This window comes from Homo sapiens, chromosome 3 (genome assembly GCF_000001405.40).
Source record: "Homo sapiens chromosome 3, GRCh38.p14 Primary Assembly".
In the NCBI taxonomy this organism is placed as follows: Eukaryota; Metazoa; Chordata; class Mammalia; order Primates; family Hominidae; genus Homo; species Homo sapiens.
The window spans coordinates 155,845,289-155,873,172 of NC_000003.12; the positions used below are offsets into that span (position 1 = coordinate 155,845,289).

General features: G+C 45.4%; 2 protein-coding genes and 1 long non-coding RNA gene across 20 annotated transcripts in view, besides 7 other annotated features; 2 read left to right on the forward strand and 1 right to left on the reverse strand.

The window, feature by feature from the left end:
• Nucleotides 1-9,139, reverse strand: part of SLC33A1 (solute carrier family 33 member 1) — a 33,404-nt gene extending 24,265 nt beyond the window's left edge. For 10 of the 13 annotated variants that reach the window (XM_017007464.2, XM_011513311.4, NM_004733.4 and 7 more), the window contains exon 1: nt 7,935-9,139. In XM_017007464.2, the coding sequence (XP_016862953.1) occupies nt 7,935-8,084 (150 nt within the window). In that variant the 5' untranslated portion in view covers nt 8,085-9,139. Of the gene's footprint in view, nt 1-7,819 lie in introns of all 13 variants that reach the window. The other 3 variants (XM_017007463.2, XM_047449197.1, NM_001363883.1) reach the window with 2 other exon arrangements.
• Nucleotides 8,727-8,796: an enhancer, noted in NCBI's record as "active region_20721". NCBI's record gives its function as "activates an Ori minimal core promoter by ATAC-STARR-seq in GM12878 lymphoblastoid cells {active_cell/tissue: GM12878}" and the evidence as "EXISTENCE:reporter gene assay evidence [ECO:0000049][PMID:35858748]".
• Nucleotides 9,167-9,726: an enhancer, noted in NCBI's record as "active region_20722". NCBI's record gives its function as "activates an Ori minimal core promoter by ATAC-STARR-seq in GM12878 lymphoblastoid cells {active_cell/tissue: GM12878}" and the evidence as "EXISTENCE:reporter gene assay evidence [ECO:0000049][PMID:35858748]".
• On the forward strand, nt 9,465-18,451 carry LOC105374174 (uncharacterized). Of its 2 annotated transcripts, none has more exons than XR_924607.4 (3): nt 9,465-9,790; nt 12,964-13,044; nt 17,360-18,451. It is a non-coding gene; the product is annotated as an uncharacterized LOC105374174 (long non-coding RNA). The 2 variants fall into 2 exon arrangements; XR_924608.4 differs by lacking the exon at nt 17,360-18,451 and adding an exon at nt 16,351-17,028.
• Nucleotides 12,690-12,789: an enhancer, noted in NCBI's record as "active region_20723". NCBI's record gives its function as "activates an Ori minimal core promoter by ATAC-STARR-seq in GM12878 lymphoblastoid cells {active_cell/tissue: GM12878}" and the evidence as "EXISTENCE:reporter gene assay evidence [ECO:0000049][PMID:35858748]".
• Nucleotides 17,384-17,443: an enhancer, noted in NCBI's record as "active region_20724". NCBI's record gives its function as "activates an Ori minimal core promoter by ATAC-STARR-seq in GM12878 lymphoblastoid cells {active_cell/tissue: GM12878}" and the evidence as "EXISTENCE:reporter gene assay evidence [ECO:0000049][PMID:35858748]".
• Nucleotides 24,142-27,884, forward strand: part of GMPS (guanine monophosphate synthase) — a 74,591-nt gene continuing 70,848 nt past the window's right edge. For 4 of the 5 annotated variants that reach the window (XM_047449145.1, XM_017007422.2, XM_047449146.1 and 1 more), the window contains exon 1: nt 25,362-25,609. Coding sequence is in view for 2 of the 5 variants with exons in the window: in NM_003875.3 (NP_003866.1) it covers nt 25,583-25,609 (27 nt within the window). In the remaining 3 variants the exon portion in view is untranslated. Of the gene's footprint in view, nt 24,202-25,361; nt 25,610-27,884 lie in introns of those variants that run through there. The other variant, XM_011513263.3, reaches the window with a different exon arrangement.
• Nucleotides 24,807-24,856: an enhancer, noted in NCBI's record as "active region_20725". NCBI's record gives its function as "activates an Ori minimal core promoter by ATAC-STARR-seq in GM12878 lymphoblastoid cells {active_cell/tissue: GM12878}" and the evidence as "EXISTENCE:reporter gene assay evidence [ECO:0000049][PMID:35858748]".
• Nucleotides 24,997-26,216: a silencer, noted in NCBI's record as "silent region_14834". NCBI's record gives its function as "represses an Ori minimal core promoter by ATAC-STARR-seq in GM12878 lymphoblastoid cells {active_cell/tissue: GM12878}" and the evidence as "EXISTENCE:reporter gene assay evidence [ECO:0000049][PMID:35858748]".
• Nucleotides 25,396-26,155: an enhancer, noted in NCBI's record as "H3K27ac hESC enhancer chr3:155588473-155589232 (GRCh37/hg19 assembly coordinates)". NCBI's record gives its function as "activates a minimal SCP1, AML or CMV promoter by ChIP-STARR-seq in primed H9 embryonic stem cells {active_cell/tissue: H9 hESC(primed)}" and the evidence as "EXISTENCE:reporter gene assay evidence [ECO:0000049][PMID:30033119]".

Sequence of the window (27,884 nt, forward strand, 5' to 3'; positions counted from 1 at the left end):
ACTACACAGGTTTCAGCAATGTTTGCAGATAAGATTATTTCTTTTTTTCTTTTTTTGAGACAGGGTCTCACTCTGTCACCCAAGCTGCAGTGCAGTGGTGCAAACTTGGCTCACTGCAGCCTTGACCTCCTAGGCTCAAGTGATCCTTTTGCCTCAGCCTCCCAAAATGTTGAGATTACAGGTGTGAGCCACGGTACCCAGACAAGGATATTTCTAATTTCTTTGTGCTTTGAGGAGAAAATACATAAAAAGAAGGAAGTAGTGACAATGGGTCAGTCACAAAGCCCTAATTCAAAGGGTTTCCATCTCTCGCACATGCAGAAGAATGAAAAAGCCAATAGTTCAGAGAGGCCAGGAAATATATTAAGAAGTTTTATGAACACAATTATCACAAATCAGACCAATGTTGATAGATGATAGCCAGTAGTCTTATTAGACTTATTAACATTGCTTTGATGCTAGAGACATCCATAGCCTGTTATGCCAACAACCATAAAGAAACATTACTACCAAAAACATGGAAATATTTCATTATTAACATTTTGGTTAATTTTGATTTATGTATTTTATCATTATTACCAAAAATATGGAAATATTTCATTATTAATATTTTGGTTAATTTTGATTTGTGTATTTTATAAACTTAAGCATACATGGTATATAAATGTATGATCAAGATATCAAAGCTGATGTTCAAGTTTCATAAACATGATTTCCGAGTAAAGACCTAAAAAACAGACTAAATATTCTGAAGTGGCTGCAAGATCTTGTCCAGTGCTTTCACGAATGCAGAAATTAAGAGCATGTAACAATTCATTAGTAACCAATAAAGGTACAATAGCTCGCACCTGAGTGTCTATTATAAGATCTGGGAAAAAACAGAGGACATCTCATTTAAATCCCAAAATCACTTTCCAAGATAGGCATTATTACTCCTACTTTATATACAAGGAAACAGAATCACAAGCCAGAAAGTGCCAGAAATGGCATTCAAACTGCGGTCTAGTTCTAAAGCAAGAAATGTTTTCCATTATGTCATCCAGATACTCAGATACACCCACAGCAAGTAAGCTCTCTTTTCTATCAACTGGACACCACTGAGAAAAAAGGTTCATATTTTAGCTCCAACCATGAGGTCTGGAACATAGATATTTTCCCACACTTCCTTTTTTTTTTTTTTTTGAGACTGAGTTTCGCTCTTTTTGCCCAGGCTGGAGTGCAATGGCACAATCTCAGCTCACCGCAACCTCCACCTCCCAGGTTCAAGTGATTCTCCTGCCTCAGCCTCCCAAGTAGCTGGGATTATAGGCATGCACCACTACCCCAGCTAATTTTTGTATTTTTAGTAGAGACGGGGTTTCTCCATGTTGGTCAGGCTGGTCTTGAACTCCTGACCTCAGGTGATCCACCCACCTCGGCCTCCCAAAGTGCTGGGATTACAGGCATGAGCCACCGTGCCTGGCTCCCTCACTTCTTTAAACTGACTACTTGTATTCCCCCTTCTCACCTCTGTCTCCCCATATGGTGATATGCCAAAGGAAATTCAAATGCACAGGATAAACAAACTTGGTGTGTCTTCCTAAAGAATTCATTTTATTCAATAAATTATAGGGAGATTACTTTAATGAGAATAAATAGGCTGGGCGTGGTGGCTCATGCCTGTAATCCCAGCACTTTGGAAGTCAGAGGCAGGTGGATCACTTGAGGTCAGGAGTTCAAGACCAGCCTTGCCAACATGGTGAAACCCTGTCTCTACTAAAAATACAAAAAGTAACCAGGCATGGTGGCACATGCCTGTAATCCCAGCTACTTGGGAATCTGAGGCATGAGAATCGCTTGAATCCAGGAGGCAGAGGTTGCAGCGAGCCGAGATTGTGCCACTACACTCCAGCCTGGATGACATGGCAAGACGCTGTCTCAAAAAAATAAAAAAGGAATACAGTTTGTTTTTCTGAGAATGTAGGGTAACATTTTAAGCCTAGACATGAATGCTAAAGAATGTATTATAGCCTATGTAAGAATACCTGGTCTATCTAGAAATGGGTCAATTAGTCTTTTCCAAATTCTAACAGGCATTTTGAGTCATATAAATTATGTGTTCTGAAAGCAGGACAAAGAAATTTGTCATCAGGTAGGAATTAATAGTCCTGCTTTCTAATTTAAAGCATCAATGTCGCTGGGCACGGTGGCTCATGCTTGTAATCCCAGCACTTTGGGAAGCTGAGGTGGGCGGATCACCTGAGGTCAGGAGTTCGAGACCAGCCTGACCAACATGGTGAAACCCCATCTCTACTAAAAATACAAAAAAAATTAGGTGGGCATTGTGGCGTGTGCCTGTAATCCCAGCTACTTGGGAGGCTGAGGCAGGAGAATCGCTTGAACCTGGGAGGCAGAAGTTGCAGTGAGCCGAGATCACGCCACTGCACTCCAGCCTGGGTGACAAGTGCAAAACTCCGTCTCAAAAAATAAATAAATAAATAAATAAATAAATAAATAAAGCATCAATGTCTTACAAATACTGTTTTTATTGTCATTAGTTTGGTTAGATTCATACTTATAGCATCAACTTTTTCAAAGCAACACTTTCTCTCATTTATTCCTGTATGTGCGTGCCTATTTATAAACAAACTGATTTATAAACTCTAATATCTTTAGCTTCCTTCTCTGTCATTAAACCGTCTTGCTCCCTGCTCCTAAACCCAAATACACTGCTCCCTATTCCAATCACTTCTAATTGTTACTACTGCTGCTAGAGGAGAGGGCCTCAATTACCAGTTTACAGGCTAGATCTGGCCTGAAGACATAGATTAGATAGATGACAGATAGAGAGATGATAGATGAGACAGATTTTTTTAAAGATGGGTCTTGCTATGTTGCCCAGGCTGCAGTGCAGTGGTTATTCACAGACACTATTATAACGCATTGCAGCCTCGAACTCCTGGCCTCAAATGATCTTCCCATCTCAGCCTGTCAAGTGGCAGGAACTACAGATGCGTGCCACTGTGCTCAGCTAAAGACATGTTTTTATATGAGCCTAAGAAGTGTTTGTAAAATTAGGAAATAAAAAAGGAATTTCTAGTTTCTCTTGAATATGCCTAAGATCTAGCAATCTTGCCGGGCATGGTGGCTCCCACCTGTAATCCAAGCACTTTGGGAGGCCGAGGCAGGCAGATCACAAGGTCAGGGGATTGAGACCATCCTGGCTAACATGGTGCAACCCTGTCTCTACTAAAAATACAAAAAATTAGCAGGGCATGGTGGTGGGCGCCTGTAGTCCCAGCTACTCGGGAGGCTGAGGCAGGAGAATGGTGTGAACCCTGGAGGTGGAGCTTGCAGTGAGCAGAGATCGCACCACTGCATTCCAGCCTGGGCAACAAAGTGAGACTCTGTCTCAACAACAACAAAAAAAGAAGATCTAGCAATCTTGGGATCCTATTGTCACAAAACTACAACTTACTAGAGTTGACGCTCCTCACCTTTAGAGGGGCATGGATTTCTCAAATTATCTCTGTCCCCTCCAACTCAGATGACTCATTTACATTATCTATCTACCCAATATATTCCATCTCCATTTATCTGTAACAATCAAAACTGTTAATTACAGATAGTATTTCATTTATTTTTTATTTATTTATATTTTTGGAGATGCAGTCTTGCTCTGTCACCCAGGCTGGAGTGCAGTGGTGTGATCTCGGCTTACTGCAGCCTCCACCTCCCCAGTTCAAGTGATTCTAGTGCCTTAGCCTCCCTGAGTAGCTGGGATCACAGGTATGCGCCACCACACCCGGCTAATTTTTTGTATTTTTAGTAGAGCTGGGGTTTCACCATGTTGCCCAGAGTGGTCTTGAACTTCTGAGCTCAAGCAATCTGCCCACCTCAGCCTCCCAAAGTGCTAGGATTACAGGTGTGAGCCGCTGCACCTGGCCAGAACATATTTTAGAATTAAAAAAAGAAAACAATTACGCTTCCTTTTAATACTCAGATTTTCTAAACATTGCCTCAGTGTTTAGCTCCTCTTTAATCACCTAAGCAATTATATTTCCATCATATAATTCTTCCTGTGCTATATAACTTTTTCAAAACCACTGGTTTTTCTTATCCTATTAATAAGTTCCAGAAAGAACAATGTTATAAATGTGGTATGTTCAGTCATAAAAAGGAGAATGAAACTATAGGAATTCTAACTTTCAACTAAAATGTTTGAACCAGAAACAGCAGTCCACTACAGATATAAACAGTTGAATTAAAAAGTAAGCTAGTTATAGAATCTACTGCAGAACAAAGTTCAAATTCCACAGGAAAAAAAAAAAAAGGGGCAATTCAAAATAACAAGTGACAGCCAGGCACAGTGGCTCACACTTGTAATCCCAGCACTTTGGGAAGCCGAGGTGAGCAGATCACTTGAGGTCAGGAGTTCAAGACCAGCCTGGCCAACATGGCGAAACCCCATCTCTACCAAAAATACAAAAATTAGCCAGGCATGGTGGCACACGCTTATAATCCCAGCTACTAGGGAGGCTGAGGCAGCAGAATAGCTTGAGCCCTGGAGGGGGAAGTTGCAGTGAGCTGAGATCATACCACTGCACTCTACCCTGGGCGACAGAGCGAGACTCCATCTCAGAATAATAATAATAATAATAATAATAATAATAATAATAATAATAATAACAATTCACTGCCTAGAAATACTCTGTGAATGCATACTGTCTGTTATCAGTTTGTTGCTTTTTTCTTTTTTGAGATGGAGTCTTTCTCTGTCGCCCAGGCTGGAGTGCAGTGGCGCGATCTCAGCTCACTGCAACCTCCGCCTCCCAGGTTGAAGCGATTCCCCTGCCTCAGCCTCCTGAGTAGCTGAGACTACAGGTGCATGCCATCACACCGGGCTAATTTTTGTATTTTTAGAAGAGACAAGGTTTCACCATGTTGGCCAGGATGGTCTTGATCTCCTGACCTTGTGATCCTCCTGCCTTGGCCTCCCAAAGTGTTGGGATTACAGGCGTGAGCCAACGCGCCCAGCCAGTTTGTTGCTTTTTATGTGTCTGCTTTTCATTTTGTCCTGAGACTGCTGTTTATATCACCACAGAGGATTAAGGAGATGATGTTACTTAAGATGAGAAAGCCTCAGTGAAATCAAGGTTTAAGAGGCCATGGAAACTAAATTGCTAATTAGCTAAATTGGAACTTTCTCTTAATGTAAGAGTGATTGGTAAAACATCATTCCAGAGAATAATGTTATGAGTTCAAGAGTTATTATATTTATACTCCCTTAGCCACAACTGTTCCCTAATGGATCAAAATTATGCCACTGGATTTTAATTTACACTGACTTATTCTTTTTTTTTTTTTGAGATGGAGCCTTGCTCTGCCGCCTAGACTGGAATGCAATGGTGCGATCTCGGTTCACTGCAACCTCTGCTTCCTGGGTTCAAGCGATTCTCCCCACCCAGCCTCCTGAGTAGCTGGGATTACAAGTGAATGCCACCACTTCCACCTAATTTTTGTATTTTTAATAGAGAAGGGGTTTTGCCATGTTGGCCAGGTTGGTCTCAAACTCCTGATCTCAGGTGATCTGTCCACCTCAGCCTCCCAAAGTGCTGGGATTACAGGCGTGAGCCACTGCACCAGCCTTGACTTCTTTATTTTAATTTTATTTTTAATTAATTAATTTATTTTGGCTGGGCGCAGTGGCTTACGCCTGTAATCCCAACACTTTGGGAGGCCGAGGTGGGCGGATCACAAGATCAGGAGATCGAGACCATCCTGGCCAACACAGTGAAACCTTGTCTGTACTAAAAATACAAAAATTAGCTGGGTGTGGTGGCACATGCCTGTAATCCCACTACTCAGGAGGCTGAGGCAGGAGAATGGCTTGAACTAGAGAAGTGGAAATCGCAGTGAGCTGAGGTCCTGCCACTGCACTCCAGTCTAGTGTCAGAGGGAGACTCCATATAAAAAATACATATATATAATTTTAAGACAGGGTTGCACTCTGTTGACCAGGCTGGGGTGCAATGATTGGATCATAGCTCACTGAAGCCACAATCTCCCGGGCTGAAGCAATCCTCCTGCCTCAGCCTCCTGAGTAGCTAGGGTTACAGGCCTTCGCAAAACACCCAGCTATTTTTTTTTTTTTTTTAATTTTTAGTAGAGATGAGGTCTTGCTGTATTGCCCAAGCTGGCTCTACCTCCTCAGCTCAAGCAGTCCTCCCACCTCAGACTCCCAAAGTGCTGGGATAACAGGTGTGAGCCACTGTGCCCAGTCGTGACTTATTTTTTATTTTATTTATTTATTTATTTTTGAGACAGAGTCTCAAAAATGGGGTTTCGCCATGCTGGCCAGGCTGGTCTCAAACTCCTGACCTCAAGTGATCCTCCCACCTCAGCCTCCCAAAGTGCTGGGATTACAGGTGTGAGCCACTGTGCCCGGCCAGCAGTGAATTATTCATAAAGCAGGAGTGGAACCCCAGAACACTGAGACAAATCTACCTGGGTGCAAAGCAATTATCTCTCAACCAAACAACTGAGGAAAAAGTACTATCACCATCATTTCACCAGTAATAGTGGCTCACTCATTAGCAGTTTGAGGAGGTGTACATAAGGTTAGATGTCTGTGAGAATAAGATTGCAGGAAAATAGTGTAGTTGTGACACCTCCTACCACCACCACATACCTGGACATTTACTCTACTGTGAATTTCCAAGGTAGCACAGAAGCTGAGAAGTTCAGTTGCTTAAATTTCAAAACAGAATCCCCTAAATTCATCATCACTGACAGAATGAAGAATTTCACTATATTCCTGACATTGTTATTCCTGATATTGGTCATTTTACTTGTTTTCTAGTTGTTACAAAAGTTAAAAACAAACAAACAAACAAAAAAGCTTAGGCCAGGTGGGGTGGTTCACACTTATAATTCCCAGTACTTTGGGAGGCCAAGGAGGGGGAGAATCACCTGAGGCCAGGAGTTCAAGACCAGCCTGGCCAACATAGTGAGACAGCCCCCCCGACCCCCAACTATCTCAATTAAAAAAAAGAAGAAAAAAGAAAAAAGAGAAAAACTTACATGTGTTTTACTCATGCAGAGAAACAGGGAAATTTTTTAGAACTTACCCTCCATTACTTACAGGACAAACTTTAAACTCTTTTCCCATAGTAATTAAAGAAAATCTTACTAATTTAGTCACAGCCTTTCTCAGCACGATTTCCCAAACCCAGTTCCACAATTTAGGCAATGTCCTGTACTTTTTTGTACTTTCCTGCCTCAGTGCACTTTTACTTTGTGTTGTGCATTCTGGTGTGCCATTTCCTGGCCTCGTGGAATCTTATTCAAGAACAAAGTCAAATGTTATCTGCAATGTGAAGCCTGACTCCCAAAGGCAGTTACTAACTGGCAACTCTGAACTCTCCTAAAATGTTCATCTTCCTTATTTCTTGAGTGCAGAACTCTGCCTTATTCATTAGAGGCCTTAGAATCCCGTCCCTTAGCTGGTTCAATAATGTTTGAACGAATAAACCCTGTTCCATTCACTAGAAGGCTGGATTCTGGGTACAACGGTAGGGGTAGAAATGGATTAGAAAGTATAGAGCTAGAAACCTAAAACCAACAAGACAAAAGGAAAAATGTGAACCATATGAGCCACACTTTTTAAAAGTGTGCATTTGTGTATTAAGCAAGTGGCATGAATCCCTGGACTCGGTTGTGTTATTTGATGGGTTGCCTCTCCCTGTTAACCGCATAGTGATCATTTGATTGCTCTAATATCATTCATTTTGGCTTTAATATTTCAAAGAAGCTCATTTGGACGAAACAGAAAACTTACCTTGAGTTATCTCCCATACAATGATTTCCAGTAAATTAATGAGCTTCCCTCCAACGTCACACACTCTTTCAAAAGGATAAATAAACCTAACACCATAATAGCTTAAATACACTACCTGAAAGAGTAACGATTCCTCTGGGTTGAGGCTGAAACCGCAAATATTTGTTACAAAAGTCGGCAGATTCAAGGGCCAAAAACAAAACATTGCCCAAAAAGTAACCCGCTGTTTGGCCCACCGAATTGCAAGTAGAAGCATAACCCACATTTTCCCTGGATAACATAGTTAACGCCCAACCATCGACGGCAATGTCCTGAGTGGCGGCCAAGAATTCAAACAAAAAGAACGCCACAGTGAGAGCAATCACGTCGGGTGTTCTGTCATCGGTATTCCCAAGCAAACGGTCCACCTGAGTGGATAAATAGATCATGAAGAGTCCTAGTATATACTGTGTCGGGACAAGCCAAGATTTGCGACGACCGAAGTTCTTAACGTAGACCGCATCAACCAACGGGGCCCAGAGTAATTTGAGACTGAAGGGCCAAAAGACAAAACTGAAGAAAGCTTGGTCTGTATAGCTAACATTTTTGCTTTGCAAAATGAGTGGGATGCTTCCCGCCAAGCCCAGGGGAATACCCTGAAGCACGTAAAGAAAGAGTAGTAGCAAAATGCTGCTTAGTTCGGCCCGGAAGCTCTGTGGGGCTTTTAAGAAGTCGCCAGTGCCGGTATCCCCCAGAAGAGCTTCTCTGTCCCCTTCCCGGCCCGCTGAGTCCAAATGACTGTCATCCCAACCGCCTGGCGGCAGGGGACCGCTCTTCATATCCAGAGAGTGACTGAAATTCCCTGGCCGCCGTTGCCGGCTGCTGTCCTTGTGGGAGATGGTGGGTGACATATCAGAGACGATGCAGAGCCCCGTCTGTGGGGGGCCGAGGCTGAGCGTTTTGGATCCGTCCAGTCCCAGGTCCAAGGCTGTCGCGCTGGACCAGGGTTTCGGTGGTTCACGGGATGGTGGCAGGGCTCAGAGCGATAAGGGCACTTCTTACTGCAGCCCGGAGTGCTGAAGCCGGGAGCCAGTCCTCTGGCTAGAGGCCCAGAGGATGCCTGGATAGGTGCCCCCTGGAACGGCGTCAAAGAGCCTGAAGGAGACCCCCGGGCAGCAGCGCCGGGCTCGAGGCTGGAGGTGTGTGCCGTGGTGCCAGGATGGAAACCAGCTCCTACCTGCGGCGGGATCGAACGGCTGGTCTCCCGACCCAACACCTCCAGCTCTCGCTGCTATCAATGCGGCAGAGAGCACTTTCTCTACAGGACTCCAGAAAAAGCATATAACTTCCTGCCTCGCGCTTCAGGAAGTGGTCCCAGTCTCTAACAGGTCCCTTCCCAGCCTCCAGAGCAAGCCAATCAGGGACACGCTCTCGTGGCCCAGTTCGGAAACAATGCTTGGTGGGAACCTGCAATCTTGGCTGCCGGAACCTTCGGGGAGGATTAACGCCGGCGCACCGTGCGGCCGGGGCGGGGCGCCGCCCAAACTCAGGCCCTGTGACAGCGACTGTGGCGGTCTGGAAAGCGTGGGCCTCGGTCATTGGGCACGAGCGGTCACGTGACAGCGGGTTCCTCCAGGCCAGCGCTGGTGGTTGAGTGATGTAATCACGTGGGGTCTGAAGTCTTCGTGGGTGTAGGTTTCTTCGTTATGCTGACGACAGGCAGTGCCCGAACTCTAGGCTGGGAGTTGTGCCATGCTGCTGCTTTCGTGGGCTGACCAGAAAAGGGTAGAAGGATTGACGTTTACGAAGTTTTTGAATCAGGAGGCAAGGTCGCCTTGTGCCCCCAAAAGGATAGAAAAAGGCCTGGCAAACTGGAGAATCGCGTCCTTACGGTGCCTACATATTTATAGTACGAATTAAACTGCTCAAGGGGTGCTAGGTTTGTCTGCAGTCCGTTTCTCCCTCATGGTGGAAGACGCGTGGGGAAACTTGGTAACCAACTCTAATTACATTGGTGATTGGAAGACTCGTTACATCCTGTTTTTATGTTGCAATAAAACGTCTTGTGGCCGGGCGCGGTGGCTCACGCCTGTAATCCCAGCACTTTGGAAGGCCGAGGCGGGCGGATCACCTGAGATTGGGAGTTCAAGATCAGCCTGACCAACAAGGAGAAACCCGTCTCTACTAAGAGACGTACAGGAATTTGAGAATCTGATTAATTTTTTTTCTGCTCTCTCACCTCTGGCAGAAAGATTATTATTTTTTTTTCTTTTGAGAGGAATCTCACACTGTCGCCTGGGCTGGTGTTCAGTAGGGCCATCTCGGCTCGCTGCAGCCTCCACCTCCCGGGTTCAAGCGATTCTCCTGCCTCAGCCTCCCGAGTAGCTGGGACTACAGGCACGCGCCACCACGCCCGGCTAATTTTTGTATTTTTAGTAGAGACGGGGTTTCACTATGTTGGCCAGGCTGGTCTCGAACTCCTGACCTCGTGATCCGCCTGCCTCGGCCTCCCAAAGTGCTGGGATTACAAACGTAATGGCAGGCTAGGCACAGTGGCTCACGCCTATAATCCCAGAACTTTGGGAGGCCGAGGCGGGTGGATCACGAGGTCAAGAGATTGAGACCATCCTGGCCAACACGGTGAAACCCCGTCTCTACTAAAAATACAAAAAATTAGCTCGGCCTGGTGGCGCGCGCCTGTAGCCCCAGCTACTTGGGAGGCTGAGACAGGAGACTCGCTTGAACCTGGGAGGCGGAGGTTGCAGTGAACCGGGATCGTGCCACTGCAATCCAACCTGGCGACAGAGTGAGACTCCGTCTGGAAAAAAAAAAAAAAGGCAACTGTAAAGTCCTCTAATCTTTGTTAAGTAGAAGAATAGATTGCAGAAAAGAACAGTGTTGGCCGGGCGCGGTGGCTCACACCTGTAATCCCAACACTTTGAGAGGCTGAGGCGGGCAGATCACTTGAGGTCAGGGGTTCAAGACAAGCCTGGCCAATATGGTGAAACCCTGTCTCTACTAAAAATACAAAAATCAGCTGGGTGTGGTGGCTCATGCCTGTAGTCCCAGATACTCGGGAGGCTGGGGCTGGAGAATCGTTTGAACCCGGGAGGCGGAGGTTGCAGTGAGCCGAGATCATGCCATTGCACTCCAGTCTGGGTGTTAAAGAAAAGAACGGTGTCATTTAAGTCCAATCAAGATTAAACCAAAACAACCATGAGTGGGATTTATATTGTGCTGGATTCAAACCCTGGCTCTAACAGTAGTTGTGCCTTGGACAGATTACTTAACCTAAGCCTCCATTTTGATGAAAATTAAAATAGAGTTCATAACATCTATTTCAGAGAGTTGTGGGAGTTAAAGGAAGCAGCCAATAAAGCCATTCACAATCAGTAGGTGTTTTTTTTTTTTCCAAAAAAAAAGGAAATACTTGATGAGTTTGTATGTCTTGTGTTTGATTTTTTCCCCTTCTTTAATTTGAAATAATTATAGATTCACAGGAAATTGCAAATATAGCAGAGTCCCATATACCCTTCACCCACCTTCCTCTGATCATTGCCTCTTACGTGATTATAGTACAATATTAAAACCAGGAAACTGACATCTGTAAAATATTGTTAACCAGACCACAGGCTTTATTCCAATTTCACCAGTTTTTACATGCACTAGCTTGTGTGTGTGTGTGTGTGTCCTGTGTTACCCTTTCATAGTGCTATCCCTTATAGTACTACATATTAATAGTTGCACCAGTCCACTGTCCTCCTCCCTGTTCTTTGGCAATCACTAATTTGTTCTCCACGGCTATACTTACGTCCTTTCAAGAATATTATAAAAGTGGAATCATATAGTATGCAACTTTGGGGATCAACTTTTTTTTTCATCCACCAAAATGTCCTTGAGATCCATTTAAGATGGTAATATATCAGTATCAATGTATGTCCGTCTTTCTTTTAAATCACAGAGTATTAGTCCATTGTATAGATACCAAATCAGTTTTGAGTTTTTTTCATTTTTTTTTTTTCTTTTTTGAGATGGAGTTTCGCTCTGTCGCCCAGGCTGGAGTGCAACAGTGTGATCTCGGCTCACTGCAACCTCCACCTCCCGGGTTCAAGTGATTCTCCTGCCTCAGCCTCCTGAGTAGCTGGGACTACAGGTGTGTGCTACCGTGTCCCGCCACATCAGTTTTTAAATAAGGAATCTTCTTGGAAATAATTGATTTCTCCCTACATATAAGAATGATTCCCCTTTAGTGGTTCAATTATCTTCCTATCAAATGTTAAATCTTTAGATCTATGCAGGCAAGAGTTACAAACAATAGGAAAAATGACTGGAGGCAAATATCAGGAAAAGTGTTTTTCATGTTACCCCAATTCAATGTGTATGCATTATTAAAGTGATAAGGTGGGCCAGGGGCAATGGCTTATGCCTGTAATCTCAACACTTTGGGAGGCCAAGGCAGGTGGATCACTTGAGGTCAGGAGTTCAAGACCAGTGTGGCCAAGATGGTAAAACCCTGTCTCTACTAAAAATACAAAAATTATCTGGGTGTGGTGGTGAATGCCTGTAATCCCACCTACTTGGGAGGCTGAGGTAGGAGAATCGCTTGAACCTGGGAGGTGGTGGTTGCAGTGAGCCAAGACTGTGCCACTGCACTCCAGTCTGGGCAACACAGTGAGAAGAGAATCCTCCAGCCCCAAGGTGAGCCACCCCTGCTAATGCTAAATAAAGAGTAGAGACAAGTATTCGTTGCTAAGCCATGCCCAAATTGCTGTTGTCTTCTTAGAAGACTTAGTGGTAGTATCTTTCCAACACAAACTAAGACATTTCTCTACAAACCTGGGAACACCACCCCCACCAGGCCCTCAGTGTCCCTCAGCAAATGTGGAACAAATGTCACTATCACTATGAAAACAAAACTGATACCGCATGGGACCTTCAGCCCATACTGTCATGAATAGCTGTTTTTGTTTTTTGTTTTTGTTTTTTTTGCATTTTCAACTCCCCTAACTCACTTCAGTTAATATCATTTCCCCTTTCTTTTGGAATACTGGTGTTCCCTGATTGATGTGTTTTGGGGAAGCTGGTGAAACTGCCAAATATAAAACCCTTCTGGTGGTCGCCATGATCCTTTCTTGCTTTTTTTTTTTTTCCTTGTCCCTTTATAGGTATCCTGTGTTTTCCAGTTGAAAGCTTGTGAAAATTCGCTTTATCCTTGAAGTTCAGAATTTTCACCAGGATGTATGAAGGTATGTATTGTATAATACATATATGTTTTTCTATTAATCTTGTTCAACATTTATTAGGTCTTTTTTAACAAAGTTTCAAATCTTTCTTGATTTTAGAGAAATTTTCCTTAATAATATCTTTGCTTTTTCATTTTTTCCTCTTCATTAATTCCCCCTAAAAGTCCTAGTAAACTTATATTTTGTTTACTGGAATTACCCCTTAAGCTTTTTCTCATAACTTTCCTTTTTCTTTTTACTCTATGTTCTTAGAAACTTCCAAACTAGGTCCTTCAAAAACAAATTGAAATTGCACAGTTAAAATTTCTGCATTTCAAAATACATAAGAGTTTTATCTCAAAAAACAAACAAACAACTATAAAAAAACTATGGCCGGGCGGTGGCTCACGCCTGTAATCCCAGCACTTTGGGAGGCCGAGGCGGGCGGATCACGAGGTCAGGAGATCGAGACCATCCCGGCTAAAACGGTGAAACCCCGTCTCTACTAAAAATACAAAAAATTAGCCGGGCGTAGTGGCGGGCGCCTGTAGTCCCAGCTACTTGGGAGGCTGAGGCAGGAGAATGGCGTGAACCCGGGAGGCGGAGCTTGCAGTGAGCTGAGATCCCGCCACTGCACTCCAGCCTGGGCGACAGAGCGAGACTCCGTCTCAAACAAACAAACAAACAAACTATTTGCATGGGGATTGGTGGTCATGGAGGCTTGAATTTAAAATGGCAGATTATCAAAGACTATTGAAGCTTGGTGATAGGTACACTAAGGGTTCATATGAGACCATTCTGTTTATTTTGTACATATTTAAAATTCTCCATAAAGGAAAATGAGAACAAAAACAACAACAAAAACCTCAAAACAGGCCGGGCATGGTGGCTCACGCCCGTAATTCCAGCATTTTGGGAGGGTGAGGTGGGTGGATCACCTGAGGTCAGGAGTTTGAGACCAGCCTGGCTAACATGGTGAAACCCCATCTCTACTAAAAATACAAAATTAGCTGGGCATGGTGGCGCATGCCTGTAAACTCAGATACTTAGGAGGCTGAGGCAGGAGAATTATTTTTATTTTTATTTTTTTGAGATGGGGTCTTGCTCTGTCACCCAGGCTGGAGTACAGTGGCGTGATCTTGGCTCACTGCACCTCCTCCACCTTCTGGGTTCAAGCGATTCTCCTGCCTCAGCCTCCTGAGTAGCTGGGATTACAGGTGCGTGCCACCACACCCGGCTAATATTTGCATTTGTAGTAGAGATGAGGTTTTATCATGTTGGCCAGGCTGGTCTCGAACTCCTGACCTCAGGTGATCCACCCACCTTGGCCTCCCAAAGTGCTGAGATTACAGGCATGAGCCACCATGTCCGGCCGGCAGGAGAATTATTGAACTCAGGAGACGGAGGTTGCAGTGAGCCGAGATCACGCCGTTGCACTCCAGCCTGGGCAACAAGAGCAATATTCCATCTCAAAAAACAAACAAACAAATTGGTTAACCACCGCTATTAATGCTGCTATTCAGTCTGTTTCAGAAACAAAACAAAACTGAAAGAGAGAATTTTACTGGAAGGATATTGATGGCCTCCCAGAATCAGTGGAAGGCCAGGACACCTGGCTTAGCAAAAACACAAAAATCAAGGTGACAATATATTAGGAATTACAGCAATAATCTTCAAGAACATTTTTCAAAAAACTACTCCACTGCCACGCCTGTGATGTCTTTGCTTCGTTTTTCTAGGCTCTGTTACAAAAATTAATACCACCATCTAGTGGACCCTTCATATACCTATGTCTGATTGTAGATTTCTTCTCTGGTTTTCCAGTCATTTCACTGAGATCTGAACTGTATCTTCTATATATTCCTGAGAATTTTAAAATTGTTTATTTTTGAGGTGGGAATCAGGTTTATTGAGGTATAATTTATATCCAGTAAAATTGGCCCTTTTTAGTGTACAGTTCTATGAGTTTGTTTTTTGTGTGTTTTTTGTTTTGTTTTGTTTTTGAGACAGAGTCTTGCTCTGTCACCCAGGTTGGAGTACAGTGGCGTGATCTTGGCTCACTGCAATCTTCACCTCCTGGGTTCAGGCAATTCTCCTGCCTCAGCCTCTTGAGTAGCTGGGATTACAGGCGCCTGCCACCACATCTGACAAATTTTGTATTTTTGGTAGAGACTGGATTTCACCATGTTAGCCAGACTGGTCTTGAACTCCTGACCTCAGGTGATCCACCCACCTTGGCCTCCCAAAGTGCTGGCATTACAGGTGTGACCCACGGCACCTGGCCTTTTGTTTTCTTTTGAGACAGAGTCTCGCTGTGTTGCCCAGGCTGGAGTACAGTGATGCAATCTTGGCTCACTGCAACTTCTGTCTCCCAGGTTCAAGCGAGTCTCCTGCCCCAATCTTCTGAGTAGCTGAGACTACAGGTGCATGACACCACACCTGGCTAATTTTTGTATTTTTAGTGGATATGGGGTTTCGCCATGTTGGCCAGGCTAGTCTTGAACTCCTGACCTCAAGTGATCTGCCTGCCTTGGCCCCCAAAGTGCTGGGATTACAGACGTGAGCGACCATGCCCGGCCCTATGAGGTTTTTGGGTGTTTTGTTTTGTTTTTTTAATTTCCATAGGTTTAGGCTAGGCACGGTGGTTCACGCCTGTAATCCCAGCACTTTGGGAGGCCGAGGCGTGTAGATCACTTGAGATCAGGAGTTCTAGACCAGCCTGGCCAACATGATGAAACCCCATCTCTACTAAAAATATAAACATTAGCCAAGCATGGTGGCGCACACCTGTAATCCCAGCTACTTGAGAGGCTTAGGCGGGAGGATTGCTTGAACCCGGGAGATGGAGGTTATAGTGAGCCAAGATCGCACCACTACACTCACAGCCTGGGCTACAGAGCAGGACTCAGTCTCAAAAAATATATATTTTTTTATAGGTTTTTGGGGGAATGAGTGGTGTTTGGTTACATGAATAAGATGTTTAGTGATAATTTCTGAGATTTTGGCGTACCCATCACCCGGTTCTATGAGTTTTAACAAATAGATAGTTATAGAACCACCACCACAATCAAGATATGGAATAGGTCCGTCAACTCCAAAAAGTACATACCCTTGTGCCCATCTGAAGTCAACCTCTCCACCCATTCCCCAACCTCTGGTAACCACCGATCTATTTTCTCTCCCTATAGCTTTGCTTTTTCCAAAATATCATGTAAATGGAATCATACAAAATGTAGCTTTTGAGTGTGTCTTCTTTCAGTCAGCATAATGCATTGAGATTCATTGATATCATTGTCCCGCATCCCCACCTCCTTCTTTTTTTCTCCCCAGTAATATTCCATTGTATGGATATGCCAGAGTGTATTTATCTACTGACCAGTTGAAGAACATTTGGATTGTTTCCCATTTTTTGTATGAGTAATGTCACTATAAACATTTGCATACAGGTTTTTGTGTAAACATATCTTTTCATCTCTCTTGGGCAAATACCTAGGAATAGGATTGTTAGGTCTTATTGATACCAGTGGGTTAGGGAGGTCCCCAAATGCTGGTGGGGCCTCAACCCCAACCAGTGTCCAGGCTCTTGACACCTTCCCAAGAAGCAATTCAAGGATTAGTTGGAAGATAATGAAAGTGAAACCGTCAGTGCAAGATTATAACTGAGACAGAGAAAGAGATCTAACCTGACCAACTCCATCTTGCCTCTGACCATCAAGCTGTCCTAGTTCATTCCTGGGCATGGGACAAACTAGCTTTAGGAAGAACTTAGTTTATAGTTTATAGTTTGAGGCACAGATGATAACAGCCTTTTCCCAAAACAAATCCCCTTCTTGCCTGGGGACTAGACTGCCTTTGTAGGACTAACATATTAGTCAAAAGATTATAAATTATGGTTTAGGAGTCATGCAGCTGGAGGCTACAAGATTCTGACACTCCCTAAATCGCTCCTGGGGATAAAAATCACTATTATAGGCTGGTGTGATGGCTTATGCCTGTAATCTCAGCACTTTCGGAGGCCGAGGTGGGCAAATCACCTGAGGTTGGGAGTTTGAGACCAGCCTGACCAACATGGAGAAACCCTGTCTCTACTAAAAATACAAAATTAGCCAAGTGTGGTGGCACATGCCTGTAACCCCAGCTACTTGAGAGGCTGAGGCAGGAGAATCACTTGAACCCAGGAAGCTGAGGTTGTGGTGAGCCGAGATGGCACCACTGCACTCCAGCCTGGGCAACAAGAGCGAAAGTCTGTCTCAAAAAAAAAAAAAAAAAAGAAAGAAAGAAAGAAAAGAAAGAAATCACTATTATAAAACCTAAGACCAGTGCTTGGGATATTTTGTAGACCCTGTCCTCGATGGATCAGCTGGCACCACCCAGATGGATAAACTGGCTCATCTGATCTTGTGGCCCCCATCCAGGAAGTGACTCAGTGTAAGAAGACAGCTTCAACTCCCTATGATTTCATCTCTGACCAATCAGCACTCTCGGCTCACTGGCTTCCTCCAACCCACCAATTTGTTCTTTTTTTTTTTGAGACCAAGTCTCACCTGTCGCCCAGGCTGGAGTGCAGTGGCGTGATCTCTGCTCACAGCAACCTCCGCCTCCTAGGTTCAAGCAATTCTCCTGCCCCAGCCTCCCGAGTAGCTGGGATTACAGGTGTGCGACTCCATGCCCGGCTAACTTTTGCATTTTTAGTAGAGACAGGGTTTCACCATGTTGGTCAGGCTGGTCTCAAACTTCTGACCTCGTGACCCACCCGCCTCGGCCTCCCAAAGTGCTGGGATTACAGGCATGGGCCACTGCGCCCAGCCAATTTGTTCTTAAAAACTCTGATCCCTGAATGCTTAGGGAGACTGATTTGAGCAGTAATAAAACTCTGGTCTCCCACACAGCCGGCTCTGTGTGAATTACTCTCTCTCTATGGCAATTCCCATCTTGATAGATTGGCTCTGTCTAGGCAGCGGGCAAGGTGAACCCATTGGGCGGTTATAAAAGTATGGAGGTTTATTGCAAAGAGAAAATTACATATTCAAGAAAGGGGAGTGTGAACATACTCGAGAGTGACACAGCCCGATTTGAGGTTTTTATCTTTACGGATTTCTTTAACCAAGGAATGGAATATTCATGAAGAATCCTGGAAAAAGGTGGAGATTTCTCAGAAATGTGGTGCCATCCATTTTTTAACCAAATATGGGACTGTCATGGCACTGGTGGGTGTGTGATTTAGTACGTTAATAAGCATATAATTAGGTCCTAGGTGAAACCTAGGTCAAATCCAGCGCCATGTTGTGTCCTGTCAGCCTTAGCGAGTTTGGCCCACACCCCGGTTTTTAGAATCTTATCAGCTTCTACCTTATGTAGCTATTTTAACAGATTTTTTCCTTGTTAGTTACGTGAAACTGCTGCCTGGAATTATTAAATTTTTCTGCAACCACCTTGTATTATTCCTGTCTCATTTTCCCCTCTCAGAGATGACTACCTTTTATTTTTCAGGATTGATGAGGGAGGAGGTCAATCTTATGTATTTACTTTCTGTTGAATGGGGCATTGGCCCTGCCTATTGAGGGTATGGAAATCTCTGGCTGCTTGGTCTGAGGGTCCCAAGGGTGGATCATCAGGAGAGTCTGAATATGAGGCAGGGATTGGCTGCAATCTTTGTATGACCATTATTTAGGCATTGAACTGCGGCAACCTAGAAGACACAGACTACAAGGAGGTTAAACAAGCAAGGACCAAAAATTAGTAGTAACAAGATAGTTATTAAAGATCCTAGGAAAGGTAGGAACTATGTCACACTTGGTAGGTATCCTTTAATGAAGTCCCAGATGGTTCGAGTAGTGGAGCTATTGAAATTATGCAGCCAGGTAGCCTGTTGGTAAATATTTTGAATTTGTAGTTTAACTAATACTAGTTTAACTAGTTTAATATTAGTTTAATTAATTTGTAGTTTAACTAATTGAGTTGTTAATATAAGAACAATAGGTGTGGTTTATTATTGTGCAAACCCCTCTTTGTTCAGATAAAACCTCTTTTTTTTTTTTTTTTTTTTTGAGACGGAATCTCACTCTGTCCCCAAGCCTGGAGTGCAATGGTATGATCTCAGCTCACTGCAACCTCCGCCTCCTGGATTCAAGCAATTCCCCTGCCTCAGCCTCCCAAGTAGCTGGGACTACAGGCGCGTGCCACCACGCCCGGCTAATTTTTTGTATTTTAGTAGAGACGGGGTTTCACCATGTTGGTCGTGGCTGGTCTCGAACTCCTGATCTTGTGGTCTGCCCGCCTCAGCCTTCCAAAGTGCTGGGATTGCAGGCATGAGCCACCGCGCCCGACCCAAAACCTCTTGTTTATTTGACCATTTAAGTGGTTTATGCTCTGGCCTTGTTAGGGCTTTATACAACTGCTTAGGAATGAGCCCAAATCCTGGGATCCAAATTCTGTAAAATCCTGCCATATTCAGGAAAGTTCTGAGTTTTTTTTGTTTGCTCGTTAAAGTTCTGTTTTTTAAGATAGTCTCTTTTTCGCCTGATGGACAAGGTTCAATATCCTGGGCTTAGGAGGTACTCCAGATATTTTACTTTCAGTTTAGAAATCTGGGCCTTGAGGCTGGGCACAGTCGCCCACACCTGTAATCCCAACACTCTGGGAGGCCGAGGCCTGCGGCTCACCTGAGGTCAGGAGTTTGAGACCAGCATGGCCAACATGGTGAAACCCTGTCTCTACTAAAAATACAAAAAATTAGCCTAGTGAGGTGGTGTGTGCCTATAGTCCCAGCTACTCCAGAGGCTCAGGTAGGAGGATCGCTTGAACCAGGGCAAGGGAGGTTGCAGTGGGCTGAGATCACATCACCGCACTCCAGCCTGGGTAACAGAGCGAGACTCTGTCTAAAAAAAAAAAAAAAAAAGAGGCCAGGAGCGGTGGCTCACGCCTGTAATCCCAGCACTTTGGGAGGCCGAGGCTGGCGGATCACCTGAGGTCGGGAGTTCAAGACCAGCCTGACCAACATGGTGATACCCTGTCTCTACTAAAAATACAAAAAATTAGCCAGGCATGATGGTGGGTGCCTGTAATCCCAGCTGCCTGGGAGGCTGAGGCAGGAGAATTGCTTGAGCCCAAGAGTTGGAGGTTGCAGTGAGCTGAGATCGTGCCACTGTACTCCAGCCTGGACGACAGAGTGAGACTCCGTCCAAAAAAAAAAGAAAAGAAAAAGAAAATTTTCCCAGTGATGCTTGTGCCTTTTGAGATTGGTTAAGTATACTTGGAATGTTTAACAAACAATATAAAGGCTAGAACCAGTTAGCTTGGTTTGAATCTCAGTTCTGTGGTTTACTACCTATGTGGGCTCAGGCCTCAGGCTAGTTAATTTCTCTGTTTTCTCAATCATAAAAGGGTGACAAGAGTATAGTAATATCTAGGCCAGGCACGGTGGCTCAGGCCTGTAATCCCAGCACTTTGGGAGGTTGAGGAAGGTGGCTCACCCGAGGTCAGGAGTTCGAGACTAGCTTGGCCAACATGTTGAAACCCTATCTCTACTACAAATACAAAATTAGCCAGGCATGGTGATGCACGCCTGTAGTCCCATCTATTTGGGAGGCTGAGGCAGGAGAATTGCTTGAACCCTGGAGGTGGAGGTGGCAGTGAGTCGAGATTGCGCCACTGCATTCCAGCCTGGGCAACAGAGCGAGACTCCATCTCAAAAACAAAACAAAACAAAAACAAAAACAAAAAAAGTAGAAGGTGGCAAGTATTAATGAAGAGGAAAGGGTTATGGGATCACAAGAGGAGGAGACATGTAACCCAAGACTTCAGAGTTGTGGGGAGGGAATCAGAAATACTCCACACAGAAGATATTTATGTACAAAAGGCCCACGTCAAGACAGAACATGTCATGTTTATGGAGTTGAAGCAGTTTAATATGGCTAGAGAGTAGAGTGATGGGGGCAGTGGTAAGAGAGCAGGCTGCAAGGTAAACAAGGGCTAGCCAAACCTCCAAGTGCCTAATAAGAAATGCTAGAAGTTTGGAGTTCTTCCTGAGAGCTGTGGGGAGCCATAAAATGATCACATTTGTATTTTAGAATGGTTGTCTTCAATTAAAAAAAAGTTTTTGCTGGGCACAGTGGCTCATGCTTGTAATCCCAACACTTTGGGAGGCCAAGGCGGGTGGATCACTTGAGGTCAGGAGTTTGAGACCAGGTTGGCCAACATGGCAAAGCCCCATCTTCACTAAAAATACAAAAAAATTAGCCAGACATAGCGGTGCACAGGTGTAATCCCAGCTACACAGGAGGCTGAGGCAGGAGAATCACTTGAACCCAGGAGGTGGAGGGTGCGGTGAGCCAAGTTCGCACCATTGCACTCCAGCCTGGGTGGCAAGAGCGAGACTCTGTCTCAAAAAAAAAAAAAAAAAAAATTAGCCAGGCATGGTGCTGCGCACCTGTAATTCCAGCTACTTGGGAGGCTGAGGCAGAAGAATGGCTTGTACCCAGGACGCAGAGGTTGCAGTGAGCCGAGATTGTGCCACTGCACTCTAGCCTAGGCAACAGAGTGAGATTCTGTCCACCCCCCAAAAAAAAAAAAAAAATCTCACATACTCACATACTGCCCTAAAAGAATTTTGCAAAACTGTGTACCTCCTTCCACATCTTAACAACTAATATTTCTCATAAGTTTAAAAGCTAATTTTTTGTTAATGGGAGGTTGAAAATATTAAACATTTTGAAAGATGAAATAAGGTAACCATGTATTATTCCTGAAATACATATTTTATGACATGATACATACCAAATCTGAAACATTGTATGAAATTTCTATCTGTGGGTTTTAGCAACTGTATTTTGAAAAAATGTATTGGTCCTAGAAATCATACAATTGCATTTAAAGGACTCAACATCACTGTTCTATGCTGCCTACGTTTTTTGAATTCAAGGCAACTTTGTCCCTTAACAAAAATATTTATATGACAGGTAAAGAAGGAAGACCTTGTAGGTTTAAGCTGCCTCAATGTATCATTAAAAGAGACTTCCATTCAGCAGGCATGGATCTACAGGAACAACAACAACAAAAAAAGATTTCCAGACTTCTGCTTCTGTCAAAGAGGAGGTAACAGGGATTGGATTTACCCTCCTGCCTGAAACAAACAAAAAAACTCAGACAAAATATATGAAACAGGGCCGGGCACAGTGGCTCATGCCTGTAATCCCAGCACTTTGGGAGGCTGAGGCGGGAAGATCACTTGAGGTCAGAGTTCGAGACCAGCCTGGCCAACATGGTGAAACGCGGTCTCTACTAGTAATACAAAAATTAGCTGGGTGTGGTGGCACACATCTGTAATCCCAGCTACTCGGGAGGCTGAGGCAGGAGAATTGCTTGAGCCCAGGAGGTAGAGATTGCAGTAAGCCAAGATTGCACCATTGCACTTCAGCCTAGGCGACAAGAGTGAAACTCCATCTCAAAACAAATAAACAAAAAAAGCAATGACTGTAATTTAACACATTCAAAAACTGAAAAAAGAAAAACTATATAGTCATTTGAATAGCCACAGAGAAAGCATTTGACAGCATCCATTCTTGACCAAAACTCTCAGCAAAATAGGAACAGAAGGAAACTTCCTCAACTTGATAAAGGGCATCTATGAAAACCTACAGGTTATTGGTGAGAGACTGAATGTTTTCTCCCTAATAAGTGTCAGTGAGTAGCCAGGTATGATGGTTGGGGGGGGCCTGTAATCCCAGCTACTCGGGAGGCTGAGGCAGGAGAATTGCTTGAACCCAGGAGGTGGAGGTTGCAGTGAGCTGAGATTGTGCCACTGCACTCCAGCCTGGGCAACAAGGGCGAAACTCCATCTAAAAAAAAAAAGAAAAATAAAAAGTGAGTGTCAATAAGAAGTTTGGGAAAGAAGTTTTGTTTTGAACTTGTTGAGTTTGGGGCCTAATATGACACTGACAATTGAACTGAGGATGAATATAGTTATCTGGGTCTGGAGCACAGAACAGAGTTGTTAAAACATAGAGCATATTAAGGGTATTTTAACAAGTCCGTATTTTATTTATTTATTTATTTTGAGGTGGAGTTTCACTCTTGTTGCCCAGGCTGGAATGCAGTGGCACGATCTTGGCTCACTGCAACCTCCACCTCCCAGGTTCAAGAATTCTCCTGCCTCAGCCTCCCAAGTAGCTGGATTACAGGTGTCCACCACCACACCTGGCTAATTTTTTGTATTTTTAAGTAGAGACAGGGTTTCACCATGTTGGCCAAGCTGGTCTCGAACTCCTGACCTCAGGTGATCCACCTGCCTTGGCCTGTCAAAGTGCTGGGATTACAGGTGTGAGCCACCGCACCTGGCCAACAAGTCTGTATTTTTAAACAAGTGCTCCAAGGAAGAGTAAGATGAGAAAAGGATTAGGAATAGAAATACTGAAGAAATCCAACACTTAAAGCTCCTGAAGGCCAGACATAGGAAAAGGAGCTAGCAAAGGCAACCAAGAGCAATCACAGAGATAAAAAGACAACTTTTTGGTGCATTTTAAGGAAAATCCAGTTTCAACAAAGAGGGATGGGTCAATAGAGTCAGAAGCTAAAGAAGAAAGAATATCAGGATCCTATATTGTGTGCATGCCAACATTCTTAGCCATTAAGCACAGGTGACCACTAGAATTTATTTATTTATTTGTTTATTTTGAGATGGAGTTTCGCTGTTGTCACCCAGGCTGGTGTGCAATGGCATGATCTTGGCTCCCTGCAACCTCCACCTCCCGGGTTCAAGCGATTCTCCTGCCTCAGCCTCCCGAGTAGCTGGGATTATAGGCGCATGCCACCACGCCTGGCTAATTTTTGTATTTTTAGTAGAGACAGGTTTCATGATGTTGGCCAGCCTGTTCTGGAACTCTGACCTCAGGTAATCCACCCGCCTAGGCCTCCCAAAGTGCTGGGATTACAGGTGTGAGCCACCACGCCCAGCCTAGAATATATTTAAACTAAGCATTGTTTAAGATAGATGGGACTTAGCCAATCCTTAATGCCAGTATATCACATCACATTCCACTCCATTAGGGGTGGATGTTTATGTAAGTTGAGGTTCTCCTATTGGTTACTGCACTCTTCTTTAGATTGTGCATACAGACCTACCCAGAGAAGCCAGTATCCATGGCTTTGGAGAGTTCAAATATTCAATTTTCCGTTCAAAAAAAGGTAAGCGAAATACTTAAGTCTCAGGCCCACTAGGACCTTAAGCCTTTCGTTTTTGTAAATATTTCACTAATAAACTGTCTACACTTTCCCAGATTGGGCAGGCCTTACATTCTATATATACTGAGAGGCACATTATCTCACTAAGCCTCAATTTCCTCATTTGTAAAAAGGATAAGAACATCAATCCTACCTTACTACTTTCACGGGATTGGTTAAAGTTAGCTTTTAAAGTATTTTCTCACTCTGGCTCCTTAATACCCTAGCTACAGTCTGACACAAGAATGACTGCAGCAAAATGTTGGCTGTATTATAATAAAAATATTTGTGGAAAGGCTTTGTTAGCTGGAAGCCATCTCAAGTATTATTCTTTATACCCCAATCTCGATTTAGGCCTCTAGGTAACCAAATTCAAAGTAACACCTCATCATCATGATGGTTGCCAAGGGGTAGGTGGAGGGACTGCAGCCCCTTCCCCACAAACAATTCCAATAAAAACACTGTTGTGCAAACAGAGCTTCACGACCAGTTCCCTGGGCCAGCTGCTCACCAGATTACCACTCCCAAACTCCCTTTTCTTTGGAAATACTGCACCTGCTGTATTTGTGGGGAGCTGTATAACTTTTGAAGTATCTAAGTGATCAGTTCCTACAATGACATCCTTGAGATATGGCCACGGAACTTTCCAAAGCAGCCTTGGCCTCCTTCATGTCCAGCAACCTGAGATAAGGCCACGCCACCGGCTAAGAGTTCCGCCAGGGGCCCAGCTCTCAGGAGGCCTCTTCGGTGCCGCCAGCCTCCCGAAGTCATCCAAGGTAGCAGGCAAATCCGGCAGCAGCAAACTAGCTCGGATTCGGCTTCGGTTTTTCTCCTGGCCGGCGCCACAGGCCCCTCCTCCGGGGCGGGCTCCTCGGTGCGAGGGCAGGAGGGGCGGAGCCGGTGGATGCCGCGGGCTCCTCCTCCCAAGGGCGGGCCGCGGGAGACCCGGCCGGCTTTGCCGGCGGGGACCGGGCTGGGGGCGGGGCCGGGCGCCGCGAGCCCCTCCTCTCGAGGGCCGGCCGGTTTGGCGGCGGCTGCGGAGGGTATCTGAGGCTCGGCTGCCAAGCCGAACGGGCTCTGGCTCCTCCCAGTGGCCGGCCGGGGCGGAAGCAGGAGGCGGGGGCAGCGTGCGCGCTGCTGGTCTTCTCTCCCGCGGCGCTGGGGCCCGCGCTCCGCTGCTGTTGCTCCATTCGGCGCTTTTCTGGCGGCTGGCTCCTCTCCGCTGCCGGCTGCTCCTCGACCAGGCCTCCTTCTCAACCTCAGCCCGCGGCGCCGACCCTTCCGGCACCCTCCCGCCCCGTCTCGTACTGTCGCCGTCACCGCCGCGGCTCCGGCCCTGGCCCCGATGGCTCTGTGCAACGGAGACTCCAAGGTCAGCGTGGGGGTCCCTGCAGCACCGCATCCCGGCGGAGGCGAGGCTCCCGGACCGGGGAGCCACCCCGCGAGGCCCTTCCCCACCCCCTTCCCCCAGCCCGTCCGCGCAGCCCTGCGCCCCGGGCAGCCACGCGTCGTAGAGTCCCTGGTCGGGGCCTGTGGCATGTTTTATCTCGGGAGCGGCGATGCTTTGTTGATCTTGTCTGCGTGTCGAGGTCCGGGCGTCGGGGAGGGCATCAGCTCCCCGCGGCCGCGTCGCTGGCCCCCGCCTCCCCCGCGCCGCTGTGGGGCGCAGAGCCCGCGAGCGCGGCGCGAGGGTGGGGGTAGGGCGGCGAGCGGGCTTGTGTGTCTGCGTGTCGGGGTGGGGGCTTCCTCGGCTCCCACCCCGTCCCTCTGGGAGGCTGGGGGCCCGTTGTGGCGATCCCGGGGCCCGCCGAAGGCAGGGCAGGGTCGGGGCCTCCTGTGCGGCGTTGGAGCTGGGCCGGCCTCTGGTCTTCCCGCCACCCCGTTTCCCGCCTGCCCTCGGCGAGGCCCGCTCCATTCCCCCCGCCAGCCTTGGGCTCCGCGGCGGTTAGGCCGGTTCTGGACGAACCCCTCGGAGCTGCACTGTCTTCCCCCTCCCCCAACGCCCCTGCAGGCCCGCGTGAGGGCTGGTGGCCCCAGGGTCGCGCACTCCGTTCTCCCTCCCCGCTTCCTTCTCAGAGAGGAAAGGGTGTGTGTCCAGGTCCCGCCCCCGTCCAGCTTGCTCCCTGTCGAGCTTGCTGGTTTGCGGGGTAACCCGCTTCCCCGCCTTTGGGGTCCCTCCCCGGGACGCGAGCCGTGCCAGCTCGCCCGAGGCCTGGGCAGTCCGGAGTTCCGGAGTGCTGGAAAAGTTGCCGCCTTGACGTACCCGGCGGGGAGAGCACGTTTGACCGCTGCTGCTCATCTCTCCTCCAACTCACTTTTCTTAGACCGTTCCTCTTACTTTCGTCCCGCTTTTGAATTGGGCACCTTCGCTTTCACCTCTGTATTAAAATTTTCATTGGCCTGGAGTTCTTTCTGACCTTCACTAAGTCAGTTTTGCCAGCGGGAAACCGTGCAGTTTTGAATTGCGATTTACTTCATTAAGATACACCTCCTCTGTACGCTGTTGAGGGCCTAGCTTTAGGAAAAAACTTAATTAAATTTCATTCGGGGGGTGGGATTGTATACTTCGAGGTGGATTTGGTGCTCTACGTCAGATAGTAGTGCCTTGTTCAGGCAGAATTTTAACATTCTTTTTAAAAGGTGCTGCTCAAGGGTCACATCTTAGGAGGTCCTCTTGAATGGTTGCTTAGCACCCGGTAATCATTCAAAAAGTATTTGTCGAACAATGAGTAAAAGATTATAAGGTAGCTGATTTTAACTCTTTTAAACCAAGGCACCAGTGGTGCTTAGGTCCAGGGAGCTGTTAAGACACACAAACCTTTAGTTTCTGACCTAAGGAGCAAATGTAAACCCCATTGTCCAGCTCTTTCCCGATTACTAGTCGACTTGCAAAGCATTTTTCTGCCTAGTTTTGAGTCTTACAACTCATTGGAAAGATTCATCTTTATGCTGATAGATGAAATAACTGGTGTTAGAAGGACTGAAATTTAATTTATGGGCTTTGAAAAATATATAGTGCATTTGAGAGGAGTATTTTCACAAAACTAAGTGACAGAAAAGTATAAGATTTGTTTCCAGAGTATATAAGAGGATTTTTCTTTTTCCTAACTGGTATTTTTTCTTTGTTTTGCTCTAGTTGGAATGACAAAGATAATCTTATCAGTTTGCTATATTTGAGCCTAGGGTGAATTAATTTTATTTCAAGGTTCTTTATGTTTTATAGCATAATTAAACATTTTAAAAACTATGTTAACAATTAGTTGTGGACTGAATTGGAAGCATTTTCAAGAGGAACATCTGGAGAATTAATATATTTCATCAAATCTATGATTATTGTATGTACCCCTGAGGAAGAAAGTCCTGACAAACCATAACATGCCAGTGATCATAAACATTTTAAGTAAAGAGATATTAAATATGGGGAAATACCTTATATCACCTACTTTATTATGCATATTTCTAAGAGGCCCACCTGGAAATAAGTAGGAGTCTTATTTTCCATAGCCTACCACTGAACCACCTTTCCCTTGGGAGGAAAGGCTTACTTTGTACATTGATTGGGCCTTGGCTGTGTGTATCTTAGTTCATAAATTAAAAGTTGGGCAAGAGCTGGTTTTGATTCCTGTTTCTGGTACATTTCAGTTATC